This window comes from Homo sapiens, chromosome 6 (genome assembly GCF_000001405.40).
Source record: "Homo sapiens chromosome 6, GRCh38.p14 Primary Assembly".
NCBI lineage: Eukaryota > Metazoa > Chordata > Mammalia > Primates > Hominidae > Homo > Homo sapiens.
In genome coordinates this window covers 106,702,892-106,719,849 of record NC_000006.12, presented here as the reverse complement: position 1 = coordinate 106,719,849, position 16,958 = coordinate 106,702,892, and the positions used below count along the sequence as shown (strand labels likewise).

General features: G+C 41.8%; 2 long non-coding RNA genes across 2 annotated transcripts in view; one reads left to right on the top strand and one right to left on the bottom strand.

Annotated features, from left to right (window-relative positions):
• The window catches only part of LINC02532 (long intergenic non-protein coding RNA 2532), a 70,090-nt gene extending 67,692 nt beyond the window's left edge, over positions 1-2,398 (top strand). The window contains exon 7 of the long non-coding RNA NR_033557.2: positions 1,608-2,398. This is a non-coding gene — a long non-coding RNA (long intergenic non-protein coding RNA 2532). The remainder of the gene's footprint in view (positions 1-1,607) is intronic.
• A 939-nt stretch (positions 2,399-3,337) lies between these two features.
• On the bottom strand, positions 3,338-16,958 carry LOC105377927 (uncharacterized). The gene is made up of 4 exons (XR_942841.3): positions 16,849-16,958; positions 16,600-16,759; positions 5,763-5,906; positions 3,338-3,615 (listed from the first exon to the last, which is right to left on the bottom strand). It is a non-coding gene; the product is annotated as an uncharacterized LOC105377927 (long non-coding RNA).

Below are 16,958 nucleotides of genomic sequence, written 5' to 3'. Positions count from 1 at the left end.
TTTTTTTTTTTTTTTTTTTTTTGAGACAGAGTCTTGCTCTGTCACCCAGGCTGGAGTGCAGCAACACGATCTCTGCTCACTGTAGCCTCTGCTTCCTGTGTTCAAGCGATTCTTGTGCCTCAGCCTCCCGAGTGGTTGGGACTACAGGTGCATACCACCATACCCGGCTAATTTTTGTATTTTTAGTAGAGACGGGGTTTCACCATGTTGGTCAGGCTGGTCTCGAACTCCTGGCCTCCAGTGATCCATCCACCTCGGCTTCCCAAAGTGCTGGGATTATAAGCATGAGCCACCGTGCCCAGCTGTATATTTTATTTTTATTGTTCTTGATGAAGAGTAAAAAACGAATAAGCCCTAGTTGTTAGTGGAGAGTGGCAAGAGGTAAGATTTTCCTTCAAATTTGTCTTTCGATCCACTTAAGGATTCTAACGTTCTGGAATTCTTGATGCCTGTTGCTTCCCTCATCTGGGAACATGACAGACCCAAATGGTGGAACTTGGGTTTTCTCAGGTAATATTTATTTAGGAGAATCATTTCAATGGTAGTTGAAAGTCAGGCCTGGAGAGAATCTAAGCCAAATAATCAAAATATAATTTTCACCTGTGATTTTGGCATAGAGACCATGGGTACCTGAGGCCAGGATGGGGTTACAGAAGAAAGAGAATGAGAAGAACATCATCACAAAAAATGTTTCTCCTGGGCAAGTTATCCCCTGAGTAGAGAGGCTGGGGCATCCTTCTGCTGGAAGGGTTTGGGCTGATGAAAGCTGATTCCCAGAAAATAAGTGATGACCAATCAGGAGGGGTCAGGTTTCTAAGGGCCAGATGCAGGAGGGCGTCCTCACTTATAAGACTGAGGAAGTGGTGTACGTGCAGACTGACTTAGAAAATTTTACTGAGCCAGTCAGCTCCAAAACACAAAGAGATACACTTTTGCCCTTATACTTTTAGGGTGGGTAGGCCTCCCGCAAAGCACACACTTGGAGACCATGCCTCCAGCCATTCTGTCTTTTGGCCTGGTGTGTATATGAAGGAAGAGGCAGCTACAGGCAGGCTTTGTTTTCCTTTTTTCAGTTTGGAACATTTAGAAGCAGATAAATTGGCATAAAGCAAACATAATTACATGTTAACTTCAAAGAGGGAAAATATCACGTACATTAAATTCCGTAACCTGCCATGAAGGAAATTATTCATGTTGACCTAATTTTATTTCTGATCTACCTACCATAGTTTAGAATAAAAATGTTGGTTGATTTTATAACTCAATGCTTTTATTGGAAAACAAGGTTTTTAAGTGGCAATATACTTCTGAATAGAATATGCATTGTCCCAACAGTGTATTTTACAAGTAACTGATAGCTATGGATAATGAGTGGCCACTTTGGAAGGGCATTTAACATCTTCTTAAAAAGTAAAACTATAGGCTCATTCATTTTTGTCTTTATTTAATTTTTTATATTTTATTGTTATTATTATTCATTTATTATTATTAATCATGGTTTCTTTACCTTCTTGTTTTCATGCATTTACTCAATCAAGTATCTCAGTTTCTGGTTAGAGCAATATTATTTTCACTCTTTCATTAATTTCTGGTTTATTTTATTTTAGGTGCTAGAGATGACACTGCAGAGTAGAGAACAAAGGAATCTTAGTAATTGTTCAATCCAATCTCCACACTTTAAAGATGAAGAAACTGGTATTGAGAAAAATACACAGCTTATCCAAGGTTGCACTGCTGGTTGGTAGCTGAGATGAATTTAGAACCCACATCTGATGACTACACCATATTGCTCCCAGTTTTCCTGTCTGTTCCACATGTAAAAGTCTGACTCTTCACTTCTCCTTTGAGTATATAGACTTTTAACATTTTTGTATGTCAAGATGGACTTTTCCTCATACCCAGCCCCTGCCTTTTCTCCTCCCTTCATACCTTGCAGGATCTTTAACAGAATTTAAAAGGAGTTTTTTGTTTTGTTTTGATGTATCTAATAAAAGTCAAGGGAGGGAGAGGGCCAGTATAAGCAAGAGTACAGTTTCCTAGTTTGTAGATGCGGTAGTCTGAGGAATCAGAAACACACAAAGGTTTGGAGAACTGGTACATGCTCCCAGGTGGGAAGCCAGGACTCTTGGTAGGATCTTGAGGACAAGGCAAAGGACAATAAGAGAGCGAGGGGATCCTAGAGGTGGAATCAAGGAAGAGAAACTAGAGAGAGAAAAAGGAACTGGCTATCCATCCATGATGGATCCTGTGTGGACTGATGGGTGGCTTGGCATCATCCTTTAGTAGACTTCATGTGGTTGAATAATTGGCCAATGGAAGGAATTTCTTTTTTGGTAACAGACTCTGTGTGTACAGTTATGGGTCTTAATTTATAATAAAAGGTTACATTGAAAATTGAGCATATTGGCAACTTTGGGCTTTAATATTACTACTGTGCTATTTAGGTCCCAACCATCCTAGCTAATCTGGGCATTCTTGAAACAGCTCTCATTATTGGTATGTCAAACCGTCTCATAGGGCATGTACTTAACAAAAGTGGAGTGAAGGGTTCAGGATGCATAAATGGGGTGAAGCTCGTGGTATTCCATTCCTTTTTACTGAAGCCACTCCTACCAGCTGCCTTCTAGATTGTTCACCTTATATGAGCATGGTGCAGTATAGAAGTTGTAGACTTTGGCCTCAGACAGATCTAAATTCTAATCTCAGATCACTACTTCCTGGTTGAGGACAAGATTTCTTTAACCACCCCAAGTCCCAATTTTCTCATGTCTAAAATGGCAGAAATAATGTGTACTTTGCAGGGTTGTTGTGAGAGTTAAGTAATATGGGTAATGCACTTGGGACAGTGCTTCACACAAAATTGTCAGTAAATGGTGATCTTTCTTTTCCTGGCACTACAAAGCTGAGGAGAGGAGGGAGGGAGGGAGATGAATGTCTGGAGGAAGAAAGGGCAGGAGTTTCTTCATCTTTGAGTGAAGGAGCATTGAGGGTTAGCAGGGATATAGGAATAGTGAGTTGGCTGGGAAGAAAAAAAGGATTAAAAGAGGAAAAGAATAGGAAAAAAGAAGGATACCATGGAGAAAATGGGCAACGGCCCCAGAAAGAAGAGCAAGAATGGCAGTGATGGTGAGCATTGCTGGAATGATGGAAGGTTCTCCGGCCCCGGTGATGCGTGGGCACCACCGGAGAGCTTGTTAGAAATGCAGAGTCTCTGTCCCTCCCCAGACCCTCTGAATCATAATTTGCAATTTAATGAGAGGTCCCCAGGTGATTCCCATATCCATTAATTCTGCAGAGTTGATGTTTTCATCTGCGGTGGCGGGGGGCGGGGGGGGGGGGTGCGGTGGGGGTGCGGCAGGTGTTCAGCAGATTCAAATCAAGAGGAAGTCCCCAAGGGCTTTAGGTTATCTCTAAATTTATCAGGAAGACTTCCCATCGAAGTGGGTTGAGATCCAGGATGTGTCACTTTCCTTTGTATTCTGATCTGGCTGGTCTGGACAGAGGTTCTGCAAACCAGAGTCATGCTGTGGACTCAGGGATTCTTGGAACTTCTCGTCTGAATCCAAAGTAGCAGGTGTGAAGGAACAAGGAAGTGGAGTGGTGAACATTATTTGTCTATAGAGGAAACAGGAAGAGAATGGGGATTCTTCTTTTAGACACATCTGGCAAGTGAGGCAGTCATCCTGCACCGCACCCTCCTCCCTGCGCCTTCAGCTCCCGGTGCCCTACCTTTTCTCTGAGCAACAGAAGCACTTTTGTCTGCATTTAGGTTGCTCATCACTGGTGCATTGGAAAGAACACTGGGCTAATGCCTTCGGGCAAGCCACTTCACCACCCTGGCTCCAGTCTCCTCATATGCAAGAAGGGCTTAAAATTGTGATGGTAGGTGCCCAGGGTTTCCCAGTGCAGTGGGGACTGGAACTGTGGTCTTCTGGTGACTGTTTCTACCTTATGGTACTCTCAAGTCAGCAGGTAGCCAGGTGATAAAAGGGAAAGAAGCTGCTGGGTGTAAAATTAAAAAGCGGCCCTCCCCTGGGGCCAGCGGGAGCGCAGAAACAGTTGCTGTTCAGTCTTGCCACTTGTCAGCATGAGGGAATTTGGGCCCAGGATAGCCAGACAATCTTTTTTTCCAAGAAAAACTAGAAGTCCAGACTTTTCTGTTAGATTTTCTTAGTTTTTTTTAGAGACTCTGAATTCATTAAACACACACACACACACACACACACACACACACACACACACACACAAAATGAGAAAACCTGCTGCTCATACAAAACAAATCTGAGGGCAGAGTTTTGAAGACTGGCAGTGAATTCATTGAAAAAAACAAAAACAAAAACACAATGAAAAAACCTGCTGCTCATACAAAACAAATCTGAGGGCTGCAGCAGCTCACAGGATGCCAGTGTGTGACGTCTTTCCTAAGTCTTTTAAAAGAGAATTGACATTTTCATTAGACTTGAAATAGGTAAACAGGACAAAGACTCTGGAGTAGCTGCTTACCCCAGTATGGCAGGCCCTGGCAATGCCTCCCCCAGGGATATAAAAACATGGATTTCGCTGGTTGTGGTGGCTCACCCCTGTAATCCCAACACTCTGGGAGGCCTAGTCGGGTGGATCATCTGAGGTCAGGAGTTTGAGACCAGCCTGGCCAACACGGTGAAATCCCGTCTCTACTAAAAATACAAAAAAATTAGCCAGGCATGGTGGTGCACGCCTATAATCCCAGCTACTCAGGAGGCTGAGGCAGGAGAATCGCTTGTATCTGGGAGGCGAAGGTTGCAGTGACCCAAGATCGCGCAATTGCACTCCAGCCTGGGCAAGAGGAGCGAAACTCTGTCTCAAAAAAAACAAAAACAAAAACAAAATCACACATACATACGGATTTGCCCTTCTTGATGGACACAGTTTGAATAAAATATAGTTGCCATACCCTTTCCATTGCAACTAAACATAAAAATACAAGAATATTCAATAAGTCATACACTATGGGATGAAAAGAGCATGTCATAATTAGCTGATTAACCACTGTCATCCTCTTGTCATATGCTGATACATGAGTAATGTATGTTTGGATTATTGATTGCATCCAAGCTAGGATTCCTTTGTGGCATCAGCAGAAGGACACGGTGACCACAGAGGTCCACCTCAAGTTACTACCTTTTGTGAAGTGATAATGGGGTGCACAGCCAGGTGTAATTCAAGCACATCTTCCTACAGGCAGTGGGTGGTTATGGCTGCACTGCTGTCGCTGTATTGCTTGCAGCCTTAATGGGAATCTTTATTGAAACGGAAATCTAATTCCATTTAGGTTAATAATATGCTCACTCAATCTTCCTTCCCAGAACTAGCCTGATCTTTACACCTTCTGAGGGGAAACTGGCAGTGATTCCTCACTGCAGGTGGATATCTCATCAGATAAAGCAGGGTTAGGAAAAATTTACATTTTTACTCCAAGCCATTTTGGTTGCTTTTTTTCATAATGAAAGTGCAGTAACTCTCTCTTATCTCTGCATGCAGTGGTGGTAAAAATGTGTAGGACCACAGTAGTTGGCATTTGTCTCCCAGATAGGCCAGCCTGAAACTTGGGAGTGGAATGAGCTTGTATTCAAGCTGTTGTTAACCAGGACTGTAGCTATTCATTCCAGCTCTACTCTTTTCATCCAGGCTATTGCATGATCAATGGCTATGGGAATAACTTACAGGGCCAAAAGAGGGTTCTGGGAATGTGATAATTTGGATGCAATTTCTATCTTTCCCACCTCCGACTCCAAAAGTTCTTCCTTCTGGACTCAAACAGCTGCTAACTCCTGTGGATGGCTGGGTGCCAGTGAGGCCTCAGGCTTTGGTGGGTTCCAAGCATACAGAATTGTAAGCTTCCTTCTTCCAGTGGGCTGGGCAGGTGCCTAGAGAATAATGTCAAAGGTGAACAAGGGAAGACAGTCAATCCTGAGTGGAGAGGGGCTGTCAGGGCTAATGTCAACACAAGCCTAGTGTGACTGTGCTGGGTTTTCCTAGCTGAAGGGGCCAAGGAGGAGCTGAATGGGAGACTGAGTCCTCTACCTGGAAGCTGGGGCAGTGTGAGAAGTTTGGGGAGTTTCCTACAGGTGATTAGCAGGGGGCTGGCGGCTTCTACAATTCAGTCTGTGGGGACCTTCTGCCACCCATGGGGCTCCCGCCACTTAGAACACACAAGCCACCAAACCCTGAGACCTATGAGCCCACAGAAAAAAATAACAACCCATTTTAAAAAGGGCCAGCAGCCAGAGAGAGAGGAGAATCAGTTAGAAAAGCAGAACACACTCCCAGCAAGCTAAAGCTTGGAGAGGAGTGTCTGAGTCGGGGAGGGGTGGGGATAGGAGCTTAAATGAGAAAATAGCAACTTTTGGTGGGTGGAAGGAGAGGGAGAAATAAGATTCTAAGGGGCTAATGAGGGGAGGAGAGAGAAAGTAAAATGATCCTAAAGCTCTCATCTTGTTAGAGTGAAGGGATCAGGAGGAAGCAGAAGCATCTCAGTGGGGTAAAAGATGAGTATTGGTGAGGATAATAGTGTCTTGTTTTCAAATGCTGGTAGAGGAGTATGTGTCAGAATGCAACCAGGAAAGAATAATTTGTTCAGGCAAGCTAATATAAAGGAAAGAGAGAAAAAAACACTAAAAATAAATTACAGAAAAAGTAAGCTGGGGTGGGCATGGTGGCTCACGCCTGTAATCTTAGCACTTTGGGAGGCCGAGGCGGGTGGATCACTTGAGGTCAGGAGTTCCAGACCAAACTGGCCAACATGGTGAAACCCTATCTCTACTAAAAATACAAAATTAGCCGGGCGTGGTGGTGCATGCCTATAATCCTAGCTACTCAGGAGGCCGAGGCAGGAGAATCGCTTGAACCCAGGAGGCAGAGGTTGCAGTGAGCCGAGATCATGCTACTGCACTCCAGCCTGGGCGGCAGAGTGAGACCTTGTCTCAATTAAAAAAAAAATTAAAAAAAAAGTAAGTTGTAAGAAATAAAATCAAGTACTATATCAGTCACACACAAAATGTGAAGACTAAATTCTTTCTTTAAAAGACAAACTATTCCACTGGATTAAAAAAGCAAAACCTATTTATATAAGAAACACAATTAAAATATAGTAATAAAAAAGGCTGAAAATCAAAGAGTAGGCAAATGCAAACAAAAAGAAAGAAGTAGAAATGTTAATGCCTAGTGGAATTTTAGAAGAAAAGCACTACAAGGGGTGACTATGTAATGATAATATAAGAAATACTATCATTAAGGAAAATATAACAGTGAAAAGCCTTTAGGTACCAAACAATATAGAAGCCAAACCTAAAGCAAAAACAATCAGAAATGCAACAACAACCCAACAAAACTGTACAATGAAGGTGAGGGACTTCAACATATTCTCTCATAAGTGAACAGGTCTAATAGATAAACAATAATTAAGGACAGAAAGGAATTGACTAATATGATCAATAATATTGACTTAATGGCTATATGTAGACATTATATCCCTCAAATAGAGAGTATCATATTTTGCTGTGTTTATGAAACACGAAAAAGAATAAAAAATTCTGTATTTGATCATAAAGAAAATACATTTTTAAAAAGTGAGATCTAGCAGATCACATGATCACAATTCAATGAATTGAGACACAAATAATGTAATTAAAAGATTCTCAATGACATGGAAATTGAGAAATGTGCTACTAGATAGCAGGTGGATCAAAGAGAAAATTTAAAGGAAAATTACAAACTATAAAGCAAGGAAAAGAATAACTTATACCAAACCTATGGGACACAGTGGAGGTTTACTCAGAGGAACGTTTATAGCTTTATATTTTTTTAAGGAAGAAGATGAGAAATAAAGAAACTAAATATTCATCTTAAGATATTAGAAAAAGAGCAATAACCAAAAGGAAAAGGAAATTAACAAAGATAAAATCTTCATAGAAAGCAAACCAAAAAATATATATAGAGAAAGTATAAATCAAAACATGGCTCTTCAAAAAGACTAATAAGATAGATAAATTCCTCAAAAGCCTGATAAGAAAAAGGAGTAAGAAGAAAAATATGAAAGAATTAGAATGAGAAAGGAGATATCATTCAAATAAAGACTAACAAAATCATCAGAGACTACTATAAGAAACTTGGGGCAACAAGTATAAAAACCTAATGAAAATGAATGATTTTCTAGCAAAATATGAATTAACAAAATGAATCCACGGAAATGTGGGAAACTTGAACAGATTAATTATCATAGAAGAGATTGGAAATGCAACTAAAAAATCTACCATTGCAAAAAGAAGGCCAGGTGCGGTGGCTCATGATCGTAATCTCAGTACTTTGGGAGGCCAAGGTGGGCAGATCACTTGAGCCCAGGAGTTTGAGACCAGCCTGGACAACATGGTGAAACCCCATCTGTACAAAAAATACAAAAATTAGCTGTGCATGGTGGCGTGTACCTATGGTCCCAGCTACTCAGGGGGCTAAGGCGGGAGGATCGCTGGAGCCCGGGAAGTCAAAGCTGAGTGAGCTGTGATTGTGCCACTGCACCCCAGCCCGGGCTATAGAGTGAGACCCAGTCTTGAAGGGAAGGAAAGGGAAAAGGAAAGGGGAAAGGAAAGGGGAAGGGGAATGGGATGGGAAAGAAGAAGGGGCAGGGGAAGGGGACTGGATGACTTCATAGCCATGTTTTATCTAATCTTTAACACAGATAATTCCATGTTATTTAAATTACTCCAGGCCATAGAAAAGGATGAAAAGGTAACTACTTTGTGGGCCAGCAAATCTGTAATACAAAAGCCTGATAAAAGATATTAAAAGAATAGAAGATTATAAAGTAATCTTACTTATGAATGGATGCAAGTTTCTAAATGAAATACCAGCCACCACCTCTGGTTAAGCTTCATGTAGTGAACAGAAGTATTTGCTACTGTTCTTTCCCAAAATTCTGATAAAATGACAGTAAAATGATTTGAGAGGCATAAACTTGAAGGACAAAAAGAATAGGAGAGGAGGCAATAGCAACAAAATTTTGCAAGTTTGGAAACACATGTACAAGTGGTAACTGACTTAGCAGATCACAGAAAGCTGAAACCCAAGCCAGAAGTAAGTTTGCCCCCAGAAATGTTCAGGAACTGGAAGAATCAAGTACCTCTGAAAATGGGGGATCTAAGAGGAGTGGAAAAAACAGGAAAATTAATTTAAAATCTACGTAAGGAATAGTCTCCCAGGTCACTTCCCTTGCCTTACACAGGATGAAGGGCCCTCTACTTCCTGTTGATGCAAGACTCTCTGAAGAGGTTGAGCCAGAGGGATTCTGAACTCAGGGACACCAGGCACACTGAGGCAGGGATCCCATGCTGAAAATGGGGATTAGGAGATTAGTTACAGAAAAGTGAGACCGCTTGGCCCTAGTCTTCCTCTAGACTTTACCTCCCAGAATGCTAACAGTCACGCTTCTCCCTTCCAGGAGGGAAATTAGAGGGTTTCTCTTTGGGAACCTGACCAGCTAAGGAGAGAAGACTTAAAGATATTGACAGAAGCCCCCAGTGAAACAGATAGTGGTACAGAGCCCAATCAATGAACAGGTTCCACCTACATCCCTGAACAACTCCCAAATAGCCATTTAGTGCATCACTCTTAAATATGAACAGAAGTATTTGCTACTGTTAAGAAAGGACCACCAGACATGTGAGGAAATCTAACATGAAAGGCAGAGACCAAAAAAAAAAAAAAAAAAAAAAAAAAAAAAAAGAGACAGAGCCAGAGAGAGAAAGTGGCAGCAGAAGGAAGCTTTTATTTATTTATTTTGCTATGTTGCTCAGGCTGATCCTGGAACTCCTGGGCTCAAGCTATTCACCTGCCTCAGTCTCCCAAGTACTGGTGTTATAGGCGTAAGCCACCACTCCCAGACAGAAGGAAGCTTCTTAAAAGCCCTCAATCTCTCTAGAGAGAAAAGAGAAGGTATCCTATTCAAGAAACAAAAGAGGCTATTATAATGAAACATTTAGAGAACAATTGAGAGATCTTGGAGATTAAAAAAGGGACCACATAAAGGAACAATTCAATAGTAAAGTTAGAAGTTTTGTCAAATTGGCCAGAGGACGGTGGCTCATGCCTGTAATCCAAGCACTTTGGGAGGCCAAGGTGGGTGGATCACTTGAAGTCAGGAATTTGAGACCAGCCTGGCCAGCATGGTGAAACCCTGTCTCTACCAAAAATACAAAAATTAGCCAGGCATGGTGGTGTGCACCTGTAATCCCAGCTACTAGGGAGGCTGAGGCAGGAGAATTGCTTGAACCCAGGAGGTGGAGGTTGCAGTGAGCTGAGATTGTGCCACTGCACTCCAGTCTGGATGATAGAGCGAGAATCCATCTCAAAAAAAAAAAAGTGTCAAATTTAGCAAAGAAAAGTTCAGGACTCTCCATTTAATTTGAATTTTATAAAAACAACAAATAAGGCCGGACGCGGTGGCTCACACCTGTAATCCCAGCACTTTGGGAGGCCGAGATGGGTGGATCACGAGGTCAGGGGATTGAGACCATCCTGGCTAACACGGTGAAACCCAGTCTCTACTAAAAATACAAAAAATTAGCCAGGTGTGGTGGTGGGTGCCTGTAGTCCCAGCTGCTCGGGAGGCTGAGGCAGGAGAACGGTGTGAACCCAGGAGGCGGAGCTTGCAGTGAGCCGAGATCATGCCACTGTACTCCAACCTGGGCAACAGAGTGAGACTCCATCTCAAAAAATAAATAAATAAATAAATAAATAAAATAAAAATAATAACTTTTTTGTATAAGTGTGTCCCATGTAAGATTTAGTTCGTCTGAAATTCAAATTTGCCTAGGTATCCTGTGTTTTATCGGGTAACCCTAGTTGGAAGATGAAGTCTCCAAGAAAGCAGAGAGAGAGAGAGAGAAAGAAAGAGAGAGAGAGAAATAAAGAGAGAAAAGATAAAATCCAAAAATCAAATCAGTTGAGGAAGTCCAATATTTGAATGACAAAGAGTTCCAGAAAGGGAAAACAGAGGAAATAAAATTATCAAGGAAATTTCCCAGAACAGAGTGAGTGTCTACCCAGAACCAAGCATCAAGGACAAAAAATACCCAACACCAAAGCACATCATTGTGATATTGTAGATCACTGATGACAAAACAGTGAAAGATCAAGCCAACACAGAGGATGAGGAATGAGAATGGTAACATTTCTCTGTATAAATAATCTATCTATGTATATCTATCTATCTATACACATACAGACACACACATCAGTGGCTCATGCCTGTAATCCCAACTACTCAGGAGGCTAAGGCAGGAGGATTGCTTGAGCCTAGGAGTTTGAGGCTGCAGTGAGCTATGATCACACCACTGCACTCCAGCCTGGGGACAGAGTGAGAACCTGTCTCTAAATAAATAAGCTAAATTTTAAGAAATGATCAAATTGATGCTGAAAATATTTTAAATAAATTTTAGCAGACCTTTCTAATAAAATTTCTAAGAAGAAACTATATGTATAAAATATATGTCAGGTTTGTCAAAGATCAGATGGTTGTAGATGTGTGGTGTTATTTCTGAGGCCTCTGTTCTGTTCCATTGGTCTGTATGTCTGTTTTGGTACCAGTACCATGGTGTTTTGGTTACTGTAGCCTTGTAGTAGAGTTTGAAGTCAGGTAGCATGATGCCTCCAGCTTTGTTTTTTGGCTTAGGATTGTCTTAGCTATATGGGCTCTTTTTTGGTTCCATATGAAATTTAAAGTAGTTTTCTTCTAATTCTGTGAAGAAAGTCAATGATAGTTTGATGGGAATAGCATCGAATCTATAAATTACTTTGGGCAGTATGGCCATTTTCATGATATTGATTCTTCCTATCCATAAGCACAAAATGTTTTTCCATTCGTTTGTGTCTTTTATTTCCTTGAGCAATGGTGTGTAGTTCTCCTTGAAGATGTCCTTCACGTCCCTTGTAAGCTGTATTCCTAGGTATTTTATTCTCTTTGTGGCAATTGTGAATGGGAGTTCATTCATGATTTGGCTCTCTGTTTGTCTATTGTTGGTGTATAGGAATGTTTGTGATTTTTGCACATTGATTTTGTATCCTCAGACTTTGCTTAAGTTGCTTATCAGCTTAAGGAGTTTTTGGGCTGAGACGATGGGGTTTTCTAAATATAGAATCATATCATTTGCAAACAGAGTGAATAGGCAACTTACAGAATGGGAGAAAATTTTTGCAATCTACTCATCTGACAAAGGTCTAATATCCAGAATCTACAAGGAACTTAAACAAATTTACAAGAAAAAAACCAACCCCATCAAAAAGTGGGCAAAGGATATGAGCAGGCACTTCTCAAAAGAAGACATTTATGTGGCCAACAAACATATGAAAAAAACTCATCATACTGATCATTAGAGAAATGCAAATCAAAACCACAATGAGATACCATCTCACGCCAGTCAGAATGGTGATTATTAAAAAGTCAGGAAACAACAGATGTTGGCAAGGATTTGGAGAAATAGGAACACTTTTACACTCTTGGTGGGAATGTAAATTAGTTCAACCATTGTGGAAGACAGTGTGGTGTTTCCTCAAGGATCTAGAACCAGAAATACCATTTGACCCAGCAATCCCATTACTGGGTATATACCCAAAGAAATATAATCATTCTACTATAAAGACACATGCACACGTATGTTTATTGCAGCACTATTTACAATAGCAAAGACATGGAACCAACCCAAATGCCCATCACTGATAGACTGGATAAAGAAAATGTGATACATATCCACCATGGAATACTATGCAGCCATAAAAAAGTATGAGATCATGTCCTTTGCAGGGACATGGATGAAGCTAGAAGCCATCATCCTCAGCAACCTAACAAAGGAACAGAAAACCAAATACTGCATGTTCTCACTCATAAGTGGGAGTTGAAAAAAGAGAACACATGGACACAGGAAGGGGAACAACACACACGGGGAGCCTGTTGGGGGGTGGGGGCAAGGTGAAGGAGAACATTAGGAAAAATACCTAATGCATGTGGGGCTTAAAACCTACATGACAGGTTGATAGGTGCAGCAAACCACCATGGCACATATATACCTATGTATAGGTATATACAAACCTGCATATATATATACAAACCTGCACATTCTGCACATGTATCCTAGAACTTAAAGTAAAATAAAATAAAATAAAATAAAATAAAATAAAATATGTAAAAGACTACCAAAAAAAAGAACAAATATTATTCTAAATGGCAAAAGGAGGCTGGTAAGAGATTGTTCTAGAGAAGTAGCAGCCCCTGCATCATGAAGAAACTTTTCCTGTGAAGTTAAGAAATTTAGGCCATATCCTTCCTATATTTCCAAAAATGTGAAGGACCACTTGCATTAGAAGCACTTGGAGTCCCCAAAATTGACATTTTAAACAGAACCCCAGGTAATTCCATTTTGGGGTAATTTTGAGAATGCCAACTTATACCAACAGTAATTACCAGAAGGGTTTGAACTAAGGAGCAATAAATCAGATTTCCAGAGACCCTTCCTTTCCATTCTGCCTCCAGCCCACCCTTCCCCGAGTCAGTCCAATGCAGGACCAGCAGGGTTGTTTCATAAGTCAACTGCACCATTTCCTATGGAAAAGTTAGGCCACTTGGCCTCTCAATGCTGGAAAGGTTACTGGAAGTGGCCCTGGTTCCTGGAGCATCATGCTCCATCTGATTCACAGAACATAGCAAGATAACATCATCCTGGGACAGGGAAAGGAATAAATTCTGGGTCTTGTCTGAAAACCTGAAGCTGGTTTTGAAAGTTTATTGTTTGTTGTTTTTGTTTAAATTCCATAATAACAACAATCAAAATAGTTCTCCAAGGTGATCAGGACCATTTTTGCAAATGCTGGAGGAAGTAACCAGGGTAGAGGAAATCCTCTGGGTGGGTCTCAGAGCCTACCTGGAGTTGTTTTCATTCAGAATTTGGTGACATCAATCTAGGGAGGGAGATGGGCTGTCTCTAGAGATCCTGGTGAGTAACAACCATACAGAGCCAGAGAGCATCTCAGGAAACTTAAAATAACAGCAATAAGAACAAAGTGTCCTTCTCATAACGTGGTTCTCAAATGGGCGCACTGGTTCCATAGAACTTATGTTTATGGTTTCTTTTGAATAAACACAGAAATTGATCCTCCCAATCTTAAAACTTGAGAAACTTACATTTGTCTAACCTGAGTTCTTTTTTCTCAGGACACCAGCCATCAGGCCTCCCAGATAGAGTCAAGGAATGGAAACTTACCCAGTCACCACATCTGGGAAACACCAGACCCCTTGCCCATCATGATTGCCTAACTGCTGCCTGTGGATCAGCTCTTCTTCCTTATCCCCTCCCTCATTCCTGTTTTCCCACACTTAGTTGCATTTCTTCCCTGCTATATAGACTCCGAATTTTAGTCAGCTGAGGAGACAAATTTGAAACTGATCTTCCATTCTCCATCGCTGCAGCACCTGAATAAAGCCTTCTTCCCTGGCAATACTCAGTGATTGGCTTTCTGTGCAGCGAGCAACAGGACCTAGACCAAATCCCTGGCGTTTCAGTAACTACTCCATAGAGGGCAAAGGAAATGACTGAGTGACATAATGAAGCTTCCCCCTGCCTTTGAGAACAGAGAAACTCTAGGCAGTCGTTCTTAAAGTTTAGCACACGTCAGAATCACCCAGTGTTTTAAACACTGATAGCCAAGCCCCATTCCAGAGTTTCTGATTCTGTAGATCTGGGTGCAGCTTGAGAATCTGCATTTCTAACAAGTTCCCAGGTGATGCTGATGCTGATGCTTAAGGGGCCACACTGTGAGAATGACTGCTCCGTGGTAGGTAAAGGAAATCCTCTCATCAACATATTTTTTGCGTGGGCAATGGCCTCATTACCTTTCTGATGGAGAAAAACTAGGAATGTTGATGGGATGGATGCTGGGATCACGCTGAACATTCTTCCTTTTTTGTTTGTTTGTTTGTTTGTTTGTTTTTTTAGACAGAGTCTCATTCTGTGGCCCAGGCTGGAGTGCAGTGGTGCGATCTCGGCTCACTGCAACCTCCGCCTCCTGGGTTCAAGCAATTCTCCTGCCCCAGCCTCCCAAGTAGCTGGGACTACAGGTGTGCGCCACCATGCATTGCTAATTTTTGTATTTTTAATAGAGATGGGATTTCACCATGTTGGCCACACATGGTGAACTCCTGACCTCAGGTGATCCACCCACCTTGGCTCCCAAAGTGCTGGGATTACAGGCATGAGCCACCACGCCCAGGCTTGAACACTCCTCTTGAAGCCAAGAAACAGACTTGGGCCTACTTAATCAGATAATTATGCACCTGTTTCTATGAATCAAACCATAAACAACTGATGAGTGACTCATAATTATAGCTACCACTTATTAAGTGCTATCTATATGCCAGGCACATCATGCACATTTAATCGTCACAGCAGCCTGCTACCCCCTCCACACTAATCTTCCCGGGCATATTCCCACCCCAGGACCTTGGCATAGGATGGCCCCTAGACCTATGTAGAGGAAAATAAATGTCTTTCCTTCCCATCTTAGGTTCACAGCTGAGGCCCCTATAATAGAAGACAGATTAATAAGAGAAAAGTATAAAAATGTATTTAGTATAAGTTTTACATGGCATGGGAGACTTCATAAGAAAATGAAGACCCAAAGAAACAGGTAAACCCGTGTGTTTTTTATGCTTAGTTTGATGGAGAAGTATGATTGGACAAAGGAAATATGACCTAATGCTAATAAACTGGGGGAAACTTAGCAAGGGTTCTTTGCTCAAATTTTTCCGTGTGTCCCTGGGTCTTCAGAGATAAGGATGTCCCTTTCCTCTGCGTATAGGAAGGGTACCTCTTGAATGAGGGTCTTATGACCTGCTTCAGGGGAAAGTCAGAAAAATCCTTCCTAGGTTTAATTTGACCTGCTTCAGGCGAGGTCTTCTGCTTCTGCTGTTTTCTTTAATTCCAAGGTTCATACTTTGGGAAAATATGTCCTGAAATCCATCACCTGGAACGTGCTTCCCCAACACATCTCTCTCCGGCTCTTCTTTAAGGGTCTTGCAGATACCATTTTGTCAGAGAGGACTTCCCCTTCCCTGGCCACCCCATCTAGAATCTCAGCCCCACCCCTGTCGCCAACCCACCATCACTGCTTTATTCTCTCTCCGGAGCATTTATCGCTAACATTCTATATGTTTTGCTTGTTTATTATCTGTCTTCCTTATTAGCAGATAAGCACAAGGGCAAGCATTGTGTCTGGTACATAGAGTCTAGAACTCTTTAGTACGTAGTTAGAGGCAATACTTATTGATAGAAAGAACAAACTAAACCTTTAGAGAGCCAAGCCTTACTTGGCAAGGATGTGCAGAATTTGGTAACATGATGATTAGAACCCATCAGTTGAAAAAGCAACACATCTGACATTATTTCCTTGGTGGGAGCTGTTTAAATATGTGGGAAGAAAATATTAATAAGTAGAAATTAAAACAGAGAGGATGAGAAGTAGGGGATGAGGAAGAAGCAGGATGGGCTAAGAGGAAGTCTGGGCCATGGCACTACTTACTTTGGTCCTGGGGGCACTTCTCCCTGAGTCTCCTGTCAAGGGTGGCTCTGGGCAGGTAGGTATGTCACCCTGGCTCTTACTGGGGACAGAAAACAGCTGCTGTAGTTAGCAAGCCTGGAGAACCCTGTCCAGCCCAAATGCTGGAAAGCAGGGTTCATTTCTGAAATGACAAAGAACGGTTCATTGAAGGAGTAGCTTTCAAATAGCCAAACCAGCTAACTCTGGAGGGAGCTAGAACTAGGTTTTCACCCAGAAGTAGCAGCGGTTTGGCAGAATGGCGGCATTGAAGATGCAGGGTCAGAGTGAGGGGATTGTGCAGAAGCTAGCTGCGAGCCAGCCACCAGACAGACTCTTGAGGC